At 42.1% G+C, this 18,467-nt stretch overlaps 1 protein-coding gene across 9 annotated transcripts in view; it reads right to left on the bottom strand.

Annotated features, from left to right (window-relative positions):
- The window catches only part of KMT2A (lysine methyltransferase 2A), a 90,341-nt gene that overhangs the window by 14,915 nt on the left and 56,959 nt on the right, over positions 1-18,467 (bottom strand). For all 9 annotated transcript variants that reach the window (XM_011542829.3, NM_001412597.1, XM_011542830.3 and 6 more), the window contains 14 exons: positions 17,520-17,630; positions 17,151-17,224; positions 16,025-16,218; positions 15,551-15,657; positions 13,845-13,982; positions 13,390-13,548; positions 12,498-12,615; positions 12,005-12,083; positions 10,771-10,931; positions 10,061-10,246; positions 5,272-9,520; positions 4,309-4,389; positions 2,718-2,782; positions 1,800-1,970 (listed from right to left, as the gene is read on the bottom strand). In XM_011542829.3, the coding sequence (XP_011541131.1) occupies positions 1,800-1,970; positions 2,718-2,782; positions 4,309-4,389; positions 5,272-9,520; positions 10,061-10,246; positions 10,771-10,931; positions 12,005-12,083; positions 12,498-12,615; positions 13,390-13,548; positions 13,845-13,982; positions 15,551-15,657; positions 16,025-16,218; positions 17,151-17,224; positions 17,520-17,630 (5,893 nt within the window). The remainder of the gene's footprint in view (positions 1-1,799; positions 1,971-2,717; positions 2,783-4,308; positions 4,390-5,271; positions 9,521-10,060; positions 10,247-10,770; positions 10,932-12,004; positions 12,084-12,497; positions 12,616-13,389; positions 13,549-13,844; positions 13,983-15,550; positions 15,658-16,024; positions 16,219-17,150; positions 17,225-17,519; positions 17,631-18,467) is intronic.

Genomic DNA, 18,467 nt, shown 5'->3' with positions numbered 1-18,467 from the left:
AAATATGCACGTAAACCCTTCTTAATACCAATGATGTGCACAAGCACTGCTTAGAATCCCTACAGTGTGAACACTTGCCCTCCTAGAGCAGTGTTTTGTTATTTTTCTTAGAGTTTAAGTCAGTTCATTACATGTGAAAGGAGCCGAAAAGGTACACTCCCCAGCAGGGCTTCTTTCTGTTGGAGGACACAGAAGCACTAAGGAAAGTCAGACCTTCTGAAATGAACTCTGAATCCCCAACGCATTCACATCCCTTGATGGAAGTCTGGGTCTCACACCTGAATGTTTGGTATTTTTATGTTCCCTGTACCCCTAATCAAAACAGCACTAGTAATAATGATTTAAGCAGGACTGTGGGAAGATCATAACCTCTCTGTTCCTTAAAGTTAAGAGGCAGAACTAGAAAATCCTTACAGTTCCTTCCAGCTCTAACCCAAGATTCTGTGATCTTTTCCTGTCTGCTAGGCATTTCCACATGGATTTCTTACATCACTCCACATCAATGTCTTCTGTGGAACCCCCATACTCCTTACTTATCTCCTTTGTTCTCCATGCATTATCTTTTGTTTTAGTCACCCAGGCCTGAATCTTTAGGGTCATCTTTGACTCTCCCCTCTCCATATTCCACCAAGTGTACTCATTCTTCTTTCCTTTCCTTTCTTTTCCCACCGAATGTGGGCTTTATTACCAGACATCTCTACTCTAGCAATACTCTCATTAGTAAACTCTCGTCTTTGAGCATCTCCAGTTCATGCTCAATCTGTCTCATATAGAGAGCTTATCACATTATGTTTCCTGAAATTCTGCTTCTATTCACTCCCTCAAGTTTTCAAAGTCCTCAAGGTTTGGCACTGAAAGCCCTCTAAAACCTGTGCCCTATCCACCTTCCCAATTTTCTCTTTCACTATTACCTCACATGGATTTCAATGCCATCTCACCTGACACTACTCTAAACCCACCAAATGCAGTCCTGCCTTTCTAACTTTGCTTACCTCCCTTCTTCTTCCTAGAGAGCCCTGCATTCTTCTTTGCCTAACCCAAATTCCATTTTCTCCTTTAATAGAATCTTCTATTTATCTTCATGGGTTTTTGATAACCCTAACTCACCCATGGTGACCTTTCTCTTCTTTGAACTCTTCTAGTACTTACAGCCTAGAGAACATTTACTAGTCCTTCAAAGGTGGATGAACACTTAGATGCTTGCGATACAAAGATGAATAAGAAAATAAAATTCCAGCCCTTATGGAGAGCTCGCTGTTGAGTGAGTGATAAAAGTAAACAAACACGGACAAAACAAAATGTAAGCTATGAGAGAAGAACATGTAAGATTCAAAAGGAGGGAGAGGGAGGGCTTAGCTACCTCAGAAGGTCAGGGAAGACCGTCTGAGCTGGATCTTGAAGGGTGAGCTGGAGCTCACCAGGTGATTGAGGGCAGGGAGAGAACTCCAGGCAGAGGAGAAAGCACGTGTGAAGGCACACAAGGGAGAGAGAAGGGCACAGAAGGCGCATGAGGGAATGGCAAAAAACAAGGCTGGAGGGGGAAGCAGAGTTCTCAGGGGCTCCGCTAAGGTGTGTGCAATGTTGAAAACATAATCTGTATCATTAACTTTTCATGTAAAATATGGCTATTTCTCCAATAAGACAAACTTCTCAAGGACAAGGAAAATGTATGATGCCTCCAGGTATCCCCCTACCATCTAGCATAAAACAGCCACCTAAATGGTGCTAATACTCAGAAAATGAAGCTCTAGCTGAAACAGGGCTTCTGCTGATGGGTCAACCTGATTTAATCCACTCACCTTCAATACTTTCTGCACAGATCTGAAAGCCATCATCACTGGAAATTTCAAAAACAAGTCCTTTCTTGGGTTTTTTCTCAGTAATGCTTTCCTTCCGCTTTTGTTCTTGCTGAAGCCAAAGCATCAGTGGGGAGCTGAAATTACTTTCCTCTTCTTCCACTGTTTTAGGTTCTAATAGGGAGAAAATAGATAGTGGTTGCAGTAACAAATGCTCACTGAGCACTGACTACATGTAGAGTACTTTACATAAATGATCTCTAAGCCTAACAACATTCCACAGTTGGTTTATTATTCCCATTTATAGATAACAAACCCAAGACTCAAAGAGCTTGCCTAGGTCATTGCTAGAAAGTGGTGACTAAAACCAGATTTTTTTTTACATGAAGTTATGCTCTCTGTGGTAGAATTTCTAGTATGACGATCTGATAGTTTTTCAATAAGCAACTGTCCTCAATAGAGTTATACCCAGAACTCTCTAATCTTGAAGTGACCATTTGTTTCCTAATCAAATTCATTAGAACTGATGGAAAATGCCATGGAGATGTATCTGGTATTGTAACCAAAATCTGACTATCTAATAAAAATGGTTCTTAGTTTTCTTTAGTAACAACTAAAAAGTGAAGTCAGGTTATTACTAGCTATTTAAGCCTCAGTGCTGGTAAAACCAGTACAGCAGAAGAGTATGGGTATGGTCTTGAGTCCTTAGCTGACAGGTGATCACACAATATGTACTGGAAGAACACTGCACCGAGAGACAGGTGCGCCAAGTTTCAGTCCAATGTGGGCCAAATCACTTAACTTCTTTGGAGCTTAGATTTTTTTTTTTAAATGTAGAAAATAAGTAGGTAAAGTGGGTGATTCTCATAATCCTTTTAGCATTGATATTCTCTGATTCTAACCTTTTACCCACCCACATACCTGCACTTTCTTGTTCATTTGCTGGATTTTGGGTCACCTGAACTTCCGGAAGAACAGCGACTTGCCTAAATAAAAACCAAATGTAAGATATAATATCAGCTAGTTCTTCAATTCAAAGAAAAAACCCAGAATTTTCTATACAGCTGTGGTATACAAAATAACTGCTAGAAAATGAGCCACAGGGGGCTTTCTGTAGAACTTGTTGAATGAATACAACCACCACACCACTGTATGGTACATAACATAAAACTCTTTTGTGAGATTCTTTACCAAATACTGACATTAAGTTTCTGTTTTTAAAGTTGTAAATTGCGCCCTTGAAATTCTTCTCATACTCAGTATTAGAAAAAAATGAAAGGACACTTGTCAGAAGCAATTCTAAAGTTACTTAAATAAGTAAGCTGGCTTAACTAAAACTAAAAAATAAGCTGCATGAGCTTATAAACCACAATCAATTTTCACCTTTTTTTTTTTTTTTTTGAGATAGGTTCTCACTTTGCTGTCCAGGCTGGAGTGCAGTGGCAATCACGGCTTGCTGCATCCTCCAACTCCCAGGCTCAAGCAATCCTCCCGCCTTAGCTTGGACTGTGGATGTGCACCACCATGCCTGGTTAACTTTTAATTTTTGTAGAGAGAGGGTCTCCCTATGTTGCCAAGGTTGGTTTCAAACTCCTGGGCTCAAGCAATCCTCCTGCCTCAGCCTCCCAAAGTGTTGGGATTACAGGCATGAGCCACTGTGTCCAGCCCCAGTTTTCACTTTTTTAAACTAAATAAATTCTGGAAACAATCCAAATGTATATCAATAGAGGACTCATTAAAATATTGTAGATCCACACAATAGAATTGGCGGCAGCGATTTAAAAAGTGAAGCACACCTACATATATTGGCACAGAAAGATGTACATAAGTGAAAAACCAAATACAGAACAGTATGTACAGTATTATTCCTTTTATGTAAAAAAGTGTATACATATTCATATATATACCACGTTATATCTTTATATGCAGAGAGATGTCTGCATAGATAAAAACAAATTATTAGCAATGACCACCTCTAGGGAGTAGATTGGGCGGGGGTGAGGGGGACAAATAGGAAACTATTATCCATTATTTAAATAATTCTTGTTATATTTTTTGTTTACTTGTTTACAAGCCTGTACTATTCTCATTTAAAAAACTTTGGCAAGAAAACAAAAATCAATGTGAATCAGGAAGAACTATTTTTTACCTTTTTTTTGGAAACGGAGTCTTGCTCTATCGCCCAGGCTGGAGTGCAGTGGCGCGATCTCAGCTCACTGCAAGCTCCGCCTCCTGGGTTCACGCCCTTCTCCTGCCTCAGCCTCCTGAGTGGCTGGGACTACAGGCGCCCGCCATCACGCCCGGCTAATTCTTTTTGTATTTTTAGTAGAGACGGGGTTTCACCATGTTAGCCAGGATGGTCTCGATCTAACCTCGTGATCCACCTGCCTCGGCCTCCCAGACTACTAGGATTACAGGCGTGAGCCACTGCGCCCGGCCTGGAAGAACTATTTTTTAAATGAGGTGGACAAAACTGAGAGCTTAGTCTTAAAAGACGAATTCTTCAGCTTACCCTGCAGGTTGCCCACACTCCTTCTGGGAGGACTGCTCCACGCTAGCTGTATCCTGCTGCTCAGCCTCTGCTCCTGGAGTCCTGGAACACAGGCATTTGTATCTTTTCAAGACAAACCACCAGTAAATATGTACTGAATGTGGAGGTGAGTCGAAAGAAATGGCTCTATCAGGATCTGATAAAGTCTATAAGCCAGCAAAACTGACCTAAGGTCATAAAGGTTAGAATAATGGTTACTTTGAGGGGGCACTGACCTTATAAGAGAAGACACCCTTGTGGGTTGCTAGAAATGTTCTGTATCTTGATCCGAGTGGTGGCTACATAGGTGCACTCCACCTAGGCTGGAGTGCAGTGACATGACCATGGATCATTTAGCCTCTAACTCTTGGGCTCAAGCAATCCTCCCACCTCAGCCTCCTGAATAGCTGGGGCTACAGGTGTGCAACACCACACCCAGCTGTTTTAAAAAATTTTTTGTAGAGACAGGGTCTTACTATGTTGCACAGACTGATCTTGAACTCCTGAGCTCCAGCAATCCTTCTGCCTCAGCCTTCCAAAGTGCTGGGATTACAGACATGAGCCACTGTGCTTGGCTTTCAATGATAAAGTTTTAAAAAAAGGACTCTGTGGATCTACAAGAGGGAGCTTTGCCCTCAAGATAAGAATAATCATTCTAGTATAAGCCTCAGTAAAAAAGAAACAGGAACAAACAGCAACACTGTTTGAAATCAGAGCAAAAAGTGATTAGATGTGGTTCTATTCAAGAGACAAACTGCCCATGGATGGAACTACATTTTGTTACATAAATCACCACTCAGAGAGAAAAAAAGTCAAAACCCGGAAAACTCCCAGGTAATGCAACTTGAACAGAAGAGTGTCTCTCCCGGACTACCACATCAACAGCCCCTAATTTACAACATGAAATCCCACAGACCCAGCCTAGCTAGTATTTGGATCTCTCACCCTGTGCCTGAGGTCAGGGATGTCGTTTCTTGGTCTGGAATGTGTGCTTCAGAAGAACTGGTCCGCAAATGGGAAACTTTGTGCTTCTTGCCATTCCCTTTGTCTAGAGGCAGCTGAAACCGTTTGGTTTTTGGTTTGGGTTTAGTGGGACCCGGCACTGAAGGGCTTGCTGACCGCTGTCCAGAAGATGGAGAGGATGGAGAACCCCCAGGAGAGGTGGGGCTGGCTTGCACAGCTGAGGATAAAGCCTTGTTCTGCTCCAGTCCCATGCTATTAGGAGCGTCTACCGTCTGGGTAAAGTTGGATACCTGGGGCCCTGAAGCAGAATCAAGATCACGCTGGGAAGAATGAATCCCAGTTTTGCTGGCAAGGAGCTGGTTCACATGCTGAAGCTGATAGTGTTCGTCTGCTTCCCCAGAAGGTGAAGCGGCTGTTATGCCCGTAGTCTGAGTGGAGGGGAGCACACAGATGCTAGATGCCGCTGTTATTGCAGCAGTAGAGGGGGTCTGTGATGTCCCCAGTTGTGGAAACATTCCTGAACTTGGCGGTAAAGCCACAGGCTGGTCCTGAATCCCCAGGCTCTGCTGGCTAGCTTTGATTAAAAGATTGCTTATTGAGCCAATATCTGGGGTACCAAGCAACCTTGGGTTGGTTAAGGTGACGTGTCCTGGAACTGACGCACTACTTGTAGGGGTTGTGGTAGTTTGCATGGATACAACATTCAAGACAGAGGAACTGGATGCCAAGCCAGACACAGACCCTGATGTGAGGTGGCTAGTATCCTGGCTTATTGTTGATGTGCCTGCCGCTGTGGCAGCAGTTCCTCCCACACTCTGTGGTAACAGGGGTGCCGGTTCAAAATACATGATGCTAGATTTAGATCTTTTTATGATGTTGGGGACAGTTCGGTGAGATGAAGTATTAAGTGACCCCAAATCTAACAGACTTGGATGATTAGGAAGCTGGGAGGGTGTGAAGTTAATCAATGTCATATTAGAAACCACATCAGAAGGGGCAATGTTTGAAGGGGTACTAGAGGGAGCAAGTTTTTTATTCTTTCGGGTCTGTAGACGAGATATGGGTCTTTTCTTGAGTCCAGAGGATGGAGTGGCTACTGTGGTACTGAGGTCTGTCCTCTGGCTGGATTCTGAAACCAAAAGTTGGGGATCCGGAGGAGGCTGAACCCCAATAAGCAGGCCTGAAGGAGGATTGCTGATGTTTGGTGGGAAACTACTTTGAGTAGCTGCAGGGAAGGAATGTAAGTGCTGGTGATGAGACATGGGTAGCAATCCTTTGCTAGCAGAAGGGAACAAAGATTGAGAAGTTGGCAAGCTTGGATTTAGTCCTGTGGTAAGGGTGAGACCACCTCCCATGGGTCCCAATACTGAAGTATTTGTCTCCATCACACTGGGTGTAGAACTAACAGAAGAGGTCAATTGGATTTTTTGGGTCACTCCATTTGGAAGAGTTTGGAGAACATAAAGTGGCTGCATGTTCTGGTTAACAACTATGAGTTTCTCAGTGGCTGGCTTCAGGTGGGGTGGAGTGGTCTGGACAGCTGCATTGGAAATCTGAGACGGGCCAGGACTATCAGTAGAATTGGGCACATACTTCTGGTTCTGGATGGGAACAGTTGGGGAAACAGGTACCTGAAGGCCAGGGGTGCTACTGTTCCTAGTTAAATCCTGATTGTTGCCATGACCTTGCTCTACTGAACCACAAGGAGGGCTAGAGATGTGGTCTGCATCCATGTGTCCTTGGATAAAATGATCAGGAGTCATGTGGCCTTCAGGAGTTGGATCTACTCCTGGGCTCAGCAGTGCTGGGTCACTTTCAGAGGAGGCTACAGATTTTTCTGTGATGGTTACTCTCTTCTCCCCTGAGTCTGAGATAACAGCTAGTCTACTGGGATTCTGGCTGGGGACAGTGGGACTCCGGGTGGTCAAGACAGACAGATCAGATGGTAGCTCTAGAGGCAACTCAAACTGTTCCTCTGCTGAGATAGAGGAAGAGACACTACTATCCACAGGTTCTGTTGTAGGCAGCTGCTGAGAAAATACTTCAAAAAGACCCATGTCTTTTTCACGATTACTGTCAAGACCCAATCCTTCACCAAGATTCAGGAGTTCTGATGAAGATGACTCTGGGCTCTCACCCAAAGCCTGCATGGATGGAGTATTCTTTAGTACAAAGTCCATAATGTCTGAAGGCAGGATATTCCCACAGTCATCACTGTTGTTATTGTCTGAATCTGATTTCAGGAGCTCAGTATTATAGGTGTCCAGTAAATTTTTGTCGGAGGGGGTACTTGTGTGGACTCTGCGGCTTGACTCCAATGAGCTGAGCTGAGCTTCCAAGGAATCTTGTCCCTGTGTTTTAACTCTGCTTACAGAATGGCAGTTATCCATCTTTGGCTCATTTTTGTGGCCAACAGAACTCTTAGTGACATGTTCTTTCTCCCCAGCATCTTCAGGTCTATCAATCTTTAAGTTCTCTGTTCCATTTTCTTTACCATTTCTTTTTGGAATCTGGCTGCTTTTCCTTGTTGTGGCTGTGACACTAGTATCACTCTCTGTCCCATCATCAACACCATCCAACTGTGAGATTTTTGGAAGATCACACTGTTCCTCCTCCCGAAATAAATTATGGGATGCCAGTCGTTCCTCTCCACCTGAAGAAATCACTGTTCTAGTGAAGTTGTAATAGTATAAGTCGTCTTCATCTGAAGTGCTTAAGTCATCGGCCCCATCCACCTGTCCTTCAGCTGATCTCTTGCCTCGCTTCTTCCCAGTTGAGCTGCTGTAGAATGGAATGTCTTCTTCACCATAGGATCTTACTCCATAGAGTGGGGTAAGCCCAAAAAACATGTTAGAACGTGCACGGGCACTGCGACGGGGATACCTCCTTTTAAAAGAGCCATCCTCCTGAGGTTTGGGGCCATCTGGAAGCATTAGGTTTCTGTCCTGTACTGGAAGATTCTGATAGTTGTTACTTTGAGAATCCTGGCATGAGGTATTATTGGGGCTTGGTTGGGCCACTGGACCATCTCCTGGATTTTCAGAGGCTGAAATTGGTTCTGTGGGAGATGTTGACTCTATTTGCAAAGGGGAAGCAGGACTACTTTCTTTCAGGGCATTTTTGGATTGACTCTCATTTTCCATTTTTAGAGGTGTCAGTGTCACTTTGACTGTGCGTTTCCGTGGTGCCTGTAATTCCTTGGCAGATCCTTCTACTTGCATGGGTGGAGCTTTGGGGACTCCTGGCATAGAAAGGCCTTTATCACCAATCTTATCAGAAGAAACATTGTTACATGGTCGTTGGCCCATATACTCAGGAGTCAAAACCTCATCCATAAACTCTGGCTTCAAGTTTCCTTCCTCACCAGTTGTCACCTGACCAGGTTCCAAAAAAGATTTACTGGAATGCTTTTCTTTGAAAGTTTCTTTACAGGATTTTTTCCCTTTCTGTCTCCTATCTCTGGAACTAGATCCCATATGTTCGTTGATAATGGATGATCTGTTGCTCATTCCAGATAGCTTCAAGGTTTTGACTTCAGTATCTTCATCTGGAGAGGAGTTTGCTGATTGGGTAGAATCTGTGTGTTGGTCTCGATCATTCCTTTGCCCTCTCAAATGGAGGTGTGGGAAGGAGAGGGCCTCTTTAGAAGAAAACGACACTGAAGAGGGTTCAGCAAAGGAGCCGATTTTACTAACATTCAGTTCTCTAGATGTTGTGTTATGAACCTGTGGGGCCAGTTTAGGAATTCCAGGGTAAGCCACATTATGTGCAGATCCCTCTGAGCTCTTGGAACTCAGCACTTTGGTCTTCTCTCCCTTTAAAGAGGAGCTCTTGGACACCAAGTCTGAAGCACTGGACTGCTTCATTTCTGAAGATGAAGATCCATCCAAGTGACTGTTTTTATTGCCTACAGTAACCACTGTCCTTTGCAAATTTGAAGAGGTGGAAGTGTTTTGCCCTAAACTAGTACTTGAATTCAGTGGCCCTAAGACATGATCAACTACTTTGGCACTTGATTCAAGATCAGTAGCGGTCCCGGTGGTGGAGACTGAGGAAACATTATTCCTAGAGTAAGTATTCCCAGTTCTCATTGGAGACATTATCCGGAGTTTGGACCGCTGGGGTGATAAGGAAGAGGTACTGTGACGCCTGGAGCCAATGCTTCGAAGTCCAGAGGAGAGTAAAGGATCACCTACTGTGACTATTTCATGAGTGGTTGGGGTAGGACTTCCTAAACAAGAGAGAAAAAGTAATAAATGCTATTGTAGATAGAACAAATGTGTAGAAGTCACTGGTTTCAATGATTTGACTATATATATATATATTTATAGGTAACTGGAAATCTACATTTTCTATTTATTTATTATTACTTTTTTGAGACAGTGTCTCACTCTGTCACCCAAGCTGGAGTGCAGTGGTGCGATCTCGGCTTACTGCAACCTCCACCTCCTGGGTTCCAGCGATTCTCCTGCCTTAGCCTCCTGGGTAGCTGGGATTACAGGCATGCACCGCCACACCTGGCTAATTTTTGAATTTTTAGTAGAGATAGGGTTTCACCATGTTGGCCAGGCTGGTCTTGAACTCCTGACCTCAGGTGATCCACCTGCCCTGGCCTCCCAAAGTGCTAGGATTACAGGCATGAGCCACCTCACCCACCCGGAATCTACATTTTCAATCAGTAAAAGTCACCAAGATAAAGTTGCCTGAAAGAATTACAAATTAGTCTTTGGGCTGATCTTCTTAGGTCAAGTAGGTCAATAAAGTCTTTTACCTGCAGAAGGCAACGGTCGACAGCCAGGGGATCTCTGTGTTGGAGAATAACTGGGTGTTCGAATCCTGGGGACCTTTGAGATGACATGATAATAACAGGAGCCAGAGGTTTGTGAATGAGGAGGTCGGTCTGGTGATGGAGGACTTATAATTTCAGCTGTGTTTTGACTCTCTTTTGATGAACTTTCTGTGGCAGGAAATAAAAACTCTTAACTAAAAAGGCCCAATTAAAATATCAAACAAATTAACCAATAAAAAGTCAGCTATCAGGTAAATGTAAAACTAGAAGCAAATGAGACTTCCCAAGTAAATGACTTTTCCCCCAGCTTTCAATCATAGTACTCCCTGAATCGAATTCAAGTTCCATCACATCTTTTTTTTTTTTTCTTTGAGACACAGTCTCACTCTGTCACCCAGGCTGGAGGGCAGTGGCGTGATCTTGGCTGACTGCAACATCTGCCTCCCTGGTTCAAGTGATTCTTGTGCCTCTGCCTCCTGAGTGGCTGGGATTACTGGGATTACAGGTGCCTGCCACCATGCCTGGCTAATTTTTTTGTATTTTTAGTAGAGATGGGGTTTCACCATGTTGGCCAGGCTGTTCTTGAACTCCTGGCCTCAAGTGATTCACCTGCCTCAGCCTCCCAAAGTGCTGCGATTACAGGCGTGAGCCACTGTGCCCAGCCTCAAGTCCCATCTTGATTCAAGACTAACCTGTAAAAGATGTTGGACTATGGGCAATGGTCCTGTTTTCATCATGTTCAACAGTGCTGTTGATATCCGGCTCTACGACTGGAGGACGGCACTCCACTATCTTGCATGTATATACACAGCGCTTGCGAGCATCTGTGGTGCTCCAGTATACCCTGGAACACCTGGGTAAACAGATTTGGGAAAATCATCATAAGGGAGAGGATAGAAGCAGAAACTAGCATTTTTCAAAACCTCTCTTTATCCTAGGTTCCCTGGCCCTCTTAATTACAGAGTTTAGCTTTATTTTATGGGTTCTTAGTATAGATTCCCCTAGTTAGGTTGTTCCAAGCTTTTTGAAGTCCTTGGTTTTTCTTAGCCTCTCAGAAAATAGCCTAAGATCTTTTTTTCTTGTACCATAAGCAGGCACCAAATATAGTAAAACATCCTAAAAGCAAGAGAAAGAAAAATATTAACCATTACAAAAATTAGTTTTGGCCTTCAGGACCGAACTATTGCCTTACAATGTATACAAAGTACGGCCTGAAAATAAAACAAAGGGCAAACCTGAGGTGTTTCCTTTGGGAGAAGAGCCCCATGAGACAAGAGAAATGTAACTGCTTCAAATCTGCTGAATGCTAGTGGAATCTGGTTTGTGTGAAAAGCTGCCAGCTAAATGTGGAGCACAGACTGTGTCATAGGAATAGGAATACAGAGTAAGTTGGAGCATATATTGCAAAATGAGACTCCAACGCGGGAGTGGTAGAAGGGGAATTTTGAACTTATATTGTTAGCTTGTTAGACATTTTAACAACTTACTTCATATAGGTAAGATTATAAATTCTTATTGAAAAATTTGATCATTATTGTGTGGATTTATAGTTTTAGAAGGACTTATAAACTGTAAAGTTGGGAACAGGGCATGAGCTGTTTTATCCATAAAAACAATCTGCACTTCTGCATGGAGATGAATGGAATTTGGAGGAATCTTAAGAGACTGACCTTGTGTTTTCTACTAAGGTTTTATTTTTAAGTAATTCTGAAATTATGTCAATAATACTTTCCTTCTATAACTGGATTCCGCTAACATAGTCCCAATCTACAAGCAGACGAATCCGAGAACTAGCAAAATAAGTGATTAATTTTTAGTAGCAGTTTAAAGTAGCTAACAGGTATGCCTCTACATTTAATGACCTGCACATGGCTTCAGTGTGTTCAGGTTGTGGGGCTGCTCTCTTCTCTTTATAGTGCTACTTACTGATATCCAATAGGAAAGAGCTTATCTTCACAGTCGGAGAGATCATTTAGAATTCCTAAGCAGTCGATTGTCATAGACCCTGACCAAGGAAAGAAGAACCGATTAGAGAAGATTATGAGCGTCATTTTATTTTTTTGAGAGAGTCTCACTCTGTCGCCCAGGCTGGAATGCAGTGGCGCAATCTCAGCTCACTGCAGCCTCTGCCTCCGGGGTTCAAGTGATTCCTGTGCCTCAGCCTCCCAAGTAGCTGGGATTATAGGGATGTACCACCACTCCCAGCTAATTTTTTTTAGTAGAGACAGGGTTTCACCACATTGGCCAGGCTGTTCTCCAACTCCTGAACCTCCAGTGATCTGCCCGCCTCAGCCTCCCAAAGTGCTGGGATTACAGGCGTGAGACACCACACCTGGCTGAGGGTCATTTTATAACTGAGGACCAGAAATTTCCCCAATGATATATACAGCCTTCCCCAATAACCAAGGCTAGGTCATACCAATCATCATGTGGATATTTTCTGGTTCCAAGCCATTGAGAAACTTCCTTCTCAAGCTGATTCCTTCAAAGTCCACAAACACTCTTCTGAAAACTTCAAATCCATTCTCAGGAACCACCTTAAATAAAACCCATGGTAGCTGTTAATAGGCTGTCCCTTTGCACATTATACTTATGATCCTGACTGTCTCAGAGTGGAAGGCACATAGCATATCTCAAAAGCATCCTTCTGTTTCACTTAGCAGGACACTTCTGTATTTCCCAAAAGAGGTGGTGCCTCTAGGAACACCAAGTAGAAAAGCAAAACAGTTTATCATCTTGCTGTATTTTTGTTTTTCTTTTGCATTTCGAAATAATTCAAAAAGCAACTAAATAAGCCATGAAAAGACTTGAAGGAAACTTAAATGCTATGCAGAAGAAGCCAGTCTGAAAAGGCTATGTACTATATGATTCCAACTATGTGAAACTCTGCAAATGGCAAGACTATGGAGATAGTAAAAACATCAGTGGTTGCCCAGGGTTGGGGAGAGGCAGGGATGAATAGGCAGAGCACAGAGGATGTTTAAGGCAGCGAAAATACTCCATATGATGGTATAATGGTGGATATACATCATTATACATTTGTCCAAACCCACAGAATGTACAACACCAAGAGTGAATGCTGATGTAAACTACAGGAGTCAGGGTGATAACCATGTGTCCAGTGTAGGTTTATCCACTGTAACAAATGCACCACTCTGGTGGGGGATGCTGATCATGGGGGAGGCTGTGCATATGTGGGTGCAGGGGGCATATGGGAAATCTCTGTACCTTCCAGTCAATTTTGCTGTGAACCTAAAACTGCTCTAAAAAAGTCTTTTTTTTTTTTTTTAAAGCAACTAAAGCTCTCTCACTTCGCCTTTGATCAAATCCCGATGTCGTTGGCAATATACTTTTTTATCATCCAGAAAGACACAGTTCTTGGCTCGGGAACACATGAAGTGATAGTTGCTGGTGCAGGATGTGAGACAGCAACCCACGGTGGCTCCTGGCTTTTGGCAGAATTCACATCTCTAAAAATCCAAAAAGAACAGAGTCCTATTCAGACTTTCATATGTTTTAAGACGTTTACCGTCTCCTCTATAGACTCATCCCATTCTACAGTTCCTACAATTCATTTTATCTATTGATAAATTGAAAACAGATAAAATTTATCATTTTATCTGTTGAATTATGTATATCAATACTTGTTGGCTAACTACCCTGATGGCACTGTGAAAAATATCAGGGAGGCCATATTCACCCACAGGAAGAATATCTGGAAACTGAGAGGGAATCTCTTTCATAAAATTTACCCATAAGGTCTTACCAGCTGCTTGCCCCTGATCACAGCCATATGCACATTCTTTAGTGATCCGTCATCATCTTCAAACACTTCCGCTGACCACAAAGCACAATTTACATGTGTCCACTCATTTTGGCCAATATATAGTAAACGACCAGCATCCTATAAAATAAAGAGATTTCTTTTTTCCTAAAGAATATAATGCCAAAGGAGGTTTTCCTCGGCATTAGCTTTTCCAGTGAAGATAACCTCAAGAAAGCAACTATAATTCTTTAATGGAGGGAGGCACACAGAAATCAGAATTCTTTTTGCAACGTTGCTCTGTTTCCACTTCCTTCTTTTCAAGATTACTTTTTCCATAGACTGAAACTATTTTACAAATCTAGAGAATAAAAAAATGAGCTGGGTATGGTGGTTCACGTCTGTAATCCCAGCACTTTTGGAGGCTGAAGTGGTAGGATCGCTTGAGCCCAAGAGTTTGAGACCAGCCTGGGCAACATAGGGAGACTTTGTCTCAACAAAAACAAAACAAAAATTAGCCAGGCATGGTGGTGCGCATCTGTGGTCTCAGCTACTCAGGAGGCTGAGGTAGGAGGATCACTTGAGCCCCGGAAGCCGAGATTGCAGTGAGCCAAAAGCATGCCACTGTACTCTAGTCTGGGTGACAGAGCAAGACCTGGTCTCAAAAGGAAACAAACAAAAAGAGCAATAGGTGGTAAGTTTATAAAAATGTGCAGTGACATCTATAAACTGTATTTCAAAGCCAGTTCTCTCAGATGGTATTTAAAAGCTTTTGGCCGGGCACGGTGGCTCACGCCTGTAATCCCACCACTTTGGGATATGAGGTGGGTGGATCACCTGGGGTCGGGAGTTTGAGACCAGCCTGACCAACATGGAGAAACTCCGTCTCTACTAAAAATACAAAATTAGCCGGGCATGGTGGCACATGCCTGTAATCCCAGCTACTCGGGAGGCTGAGGCAGGAGAATTGCTTGAACATAGGAGGCGGAGGTTGTAGTGAGCCGAGATCACGCCATTGCACTCCAGCCTGGGCAACAAGAGCGAAACTCCAGCCTGGGCAACAAGAGCGAAACTCCGCTCAAAAAAACAAAACAAAACAAAACAAAAAACACAAAAAACTTTTAAAAAAATTGTAGCTTACTGTGTGTGCCAGGCACCAAATAGAGGCTTTACATACATTATTTCATTTAATCCTCACAGCCACTCTGAGGTAAGCGTTATTATCTTCATTTTAAAGATGAAACTGAGGGTCAGAGAGGTTAAACTACTTGCCAAAGTCAATAAGTAGGCAGTTAAGCACAGAAATGTATTCAGGCAGGCGGCAGAACTCGGGCTCTTAACGATTCTGCTATCCTATATGAAACACAAGCTTTTTAATATGCAACTTAGATTTTATTAACTTTCACAAAATATTCTTGAGGAACTTCCATTAGAAATTACTAGACATCAAGGGTTTAATTTAAGGCAAATCAGTCACCTTTTAATCAACAAAATCAGTCATTAAAAAACTCCAAGTGCCATGAACTAAGTGACAAAAAATAAGTTACAAATTAATAAGTTATAAGTTATAGGTAAATAAAAGTTATAAATTAGTAAGTTATAAGTAAGTTCATTAAATAAATGGCACCCAGTCATCAAGTATGGACACAAGGACAAACAGTTCTTTTGGAGTATGTATTAACTAGGGCCCTGTGTTGCAAAGTACTTACATTAGCACTGTCATCACCATAAGTCAAACATAACGCACACTGTCTATTGTCTTCTATGCCTGGGGGTGGGTTCAGCTCTGGACTGTCTTCTCGACTCCTATCAGTACCTTGAAATCCAAAAGACTCCCATCAATACCTTGAGATCCAGTTAAAATTGGCAATACTATGTCTGATTTCAAGGAAAAAAGAAATAATTCAGCTTACATAGCCCACAGCCTATAAAATAACCACTTTTCAAAAAGTGTTCAGAGTTACGCTACCTCATCATCTATGTTACAATACTCCAGAGTATTTATATCAAGTCCTCATTAACACCTCAAGTGAAGCAAAATTAATGATGGTATTACATTTAAGGATGACCTGAAAATTCCTTTCTGATATCCAAGTATATCTAATTTTAGTGAATTGGATTCACGAAGTCAATCATCTGCATCTAGAGGGAAATGGGTGACGACTCTCCTTTTGGTGGCTTACTCAAAATTGGTGGTGTAGGAGGATGCAGAGGAGTTGGTGAGTCTGGTTCTCCAGGACCTTTGGGTTTGGGAGCTGGAATGATTTTCTTCATTAAAGGAGGCTGCTCAGTGTGGCTGTTTTCCTCTCGCTCCTGCCACTGAGCATAATTATGGTCAAGTGAAGGTGGAAGCACTGCGTTTGGTAACATCCCACTGCTGAAAATAATTGATTCAACAAGCATTTATTGAACTCCTACAGTATACCTAGAACTGTATAAAATAAATTCTTGATATCACCTGTTGCCCCATGTAGGAGCCATTCACAGAATATAAGAACAAGTCACAGCGTTTGAAAATTGCTGAAGTACACAGAACTCAATATTTTAAAAAATATCTCAACATATGACTCTTGGTTAAACTTGCTGAAACAAATGATAACCCTATCAAAAACTCAAAAGAGGCCGGGCATGGTGGCTCATGCCTGTAATCCCAGCACTTTTGGGAGGGTGAGGCAGGCGGATCACCAGGTCAAGAGATCAAGACCATCCTGGCCAAAATGGTGAAACCCAGTCTCTATTAAAATACAAAAATTAGCTGGGCATGGTGGTGCCCGCCTGTTTTCCCAGCTACTTGGGAGGCTGAGGGAGGAGAATCGCTTGAACCAGGGAGGCGGAGGTTGTAGTGAGCCGAGATCATGTCACTGCACTCCAGCCTGGTGACAGAACGAGACTCCGTCTCAAAAAAAAAAAAATAAATAAATAAATAAAATCAAATCAAAAGAATTTACTGGAATAAAAATTAAAGGTTACATATGGAAAATCAAGAGCAGTACAAAGCACCATTTGAACTATCAGTCAAACAGAACCCATTTATAACAAGGCCAGCTACATGGCTGTACCACACATGTATTGTACATTTGTCACAATTAAACCAAGCTCCCTACAATAAAACAAATATAAAAGTAAAGAACAAAAAGGCAATTGCTTATAACAAACATTAAATGTAGTCCTCAAAACCACACCGAAAAGGCATTTCAACCAATTCATTTCTAGTATTAAAACCTTTTGGAAAACTGCAATCTAGAAATATGAGAACTCTCAGATTTCTAGCCGATGAGGAGAAAAAAAAGTTATGCTAAATTCACTTACTTGCTTGATACTTTATTTGGCTCCCAAAACCTGGACTTTTTGACACTGAACCATGGAAAAACACGTTCCATTTGCTAAAAGAAAACACAAACAAAATGTAAATATGTAAACACTCATTTAGATACCACATGAAAAATCTTCAAACCAGCTTCTCTGTTAATACGAGGATAATTTCAGGCCACCAAGAGAAAGATCCATCCACTCTGGCAACCTCACCAAGTTCCTCTCAAAGAATCAGGGGATCAAATTAAACCAAAGATGTTTTATACACACCACAAAGCAAAAAGTAGAAGAGAACAAGTTCATTGTATTCACAGGGTAATTACTTATAGGTAAGCATTAAAAACATGAATTAGTAATATCATTCACCCGAATGAAGAAGGACTTGACCATGCTGTTGGCTTTTTTAATTTCTGGCTGTCCTCCATCTGAATTAATGGCTGCTTGAATGATCTTCACAATATCATCACTGAACTCCAACTGTATACAAAAACAAAATGTTAATTATTCTTAAAACAGTGTGCTCTGAAAACCATTTCCTCTTCCCTCCTTAATCATCCAGCACAGAGATCCAACAGAAAACTCACACCCTATTTTAATGTGGTATAATACTCTTTGGCTGAGACCTTTGAGATTCAATTCACGATTAACCTGTGGCAATTAAGAGATGCCAGGCTAATGAGGTAAGAATGCAAACAAATTGGCTGTATCATGATAAATTATCCAAGCAGGTCCACAGTTTTTATTTTGGATTAAAATAAATAAACAGTGGCTCACGCCTGTAATCCCAGCACTTTGGGAGGCTGATGTGGGTGGATCACTTAAGGTCAGGAGTTCATGACCAGCCTAGCCAACATGGTGAAACCCAATCTCCGCCAAAAATACAAAATTAGCCAGGCATGGTGGCACATGCTTATGTAATCCCAGCTACTTGGGAGGCTGAGGCAGGAGAATCACTTGATTACGGGAGGCAGAGGTTGCAGTGAGCCGAGATCATGTCACTGCATGCCAGCCTGGGTAACAGAGCGAGACTCCATCTCAAATAAATAAATAAATAAATAAAAATAAACAACAGAATCGCAAATATAGATCATGAGATAATAAATAATCATTTCCTATACATACTTAAAATCATAAAATTAACAGGCATCTATCTACAAATGAAGACCTTATAAAGAAAGGCACATTATTCAGATCTGATCTCAAAAGGGGAGGGAGAACCAATTAATTTCATATTAGCATTTCCCACATCAACAGTTTCTTAGTGCTTCCTCTTAATATAAAAATAATTTTCAGAAAACTGAGATGAAAGCCAAA

Source organism: Homo sapiens, chromosome 11 (assembly GCF_000001405.40).
Source record: "Homo sapiens chromosome 11, GRCh38.p14 Primary Assembly".
In the NCBI taxonomy this organism is placed as follows: Eukaryota; Metazoa; Chordata; class Mammalia; order Primates; family Hominidae; genus Homo; species Homo sapiens.
This window is presented reverse-complemented; position numbering and strand designations above follow the sequence as displayed.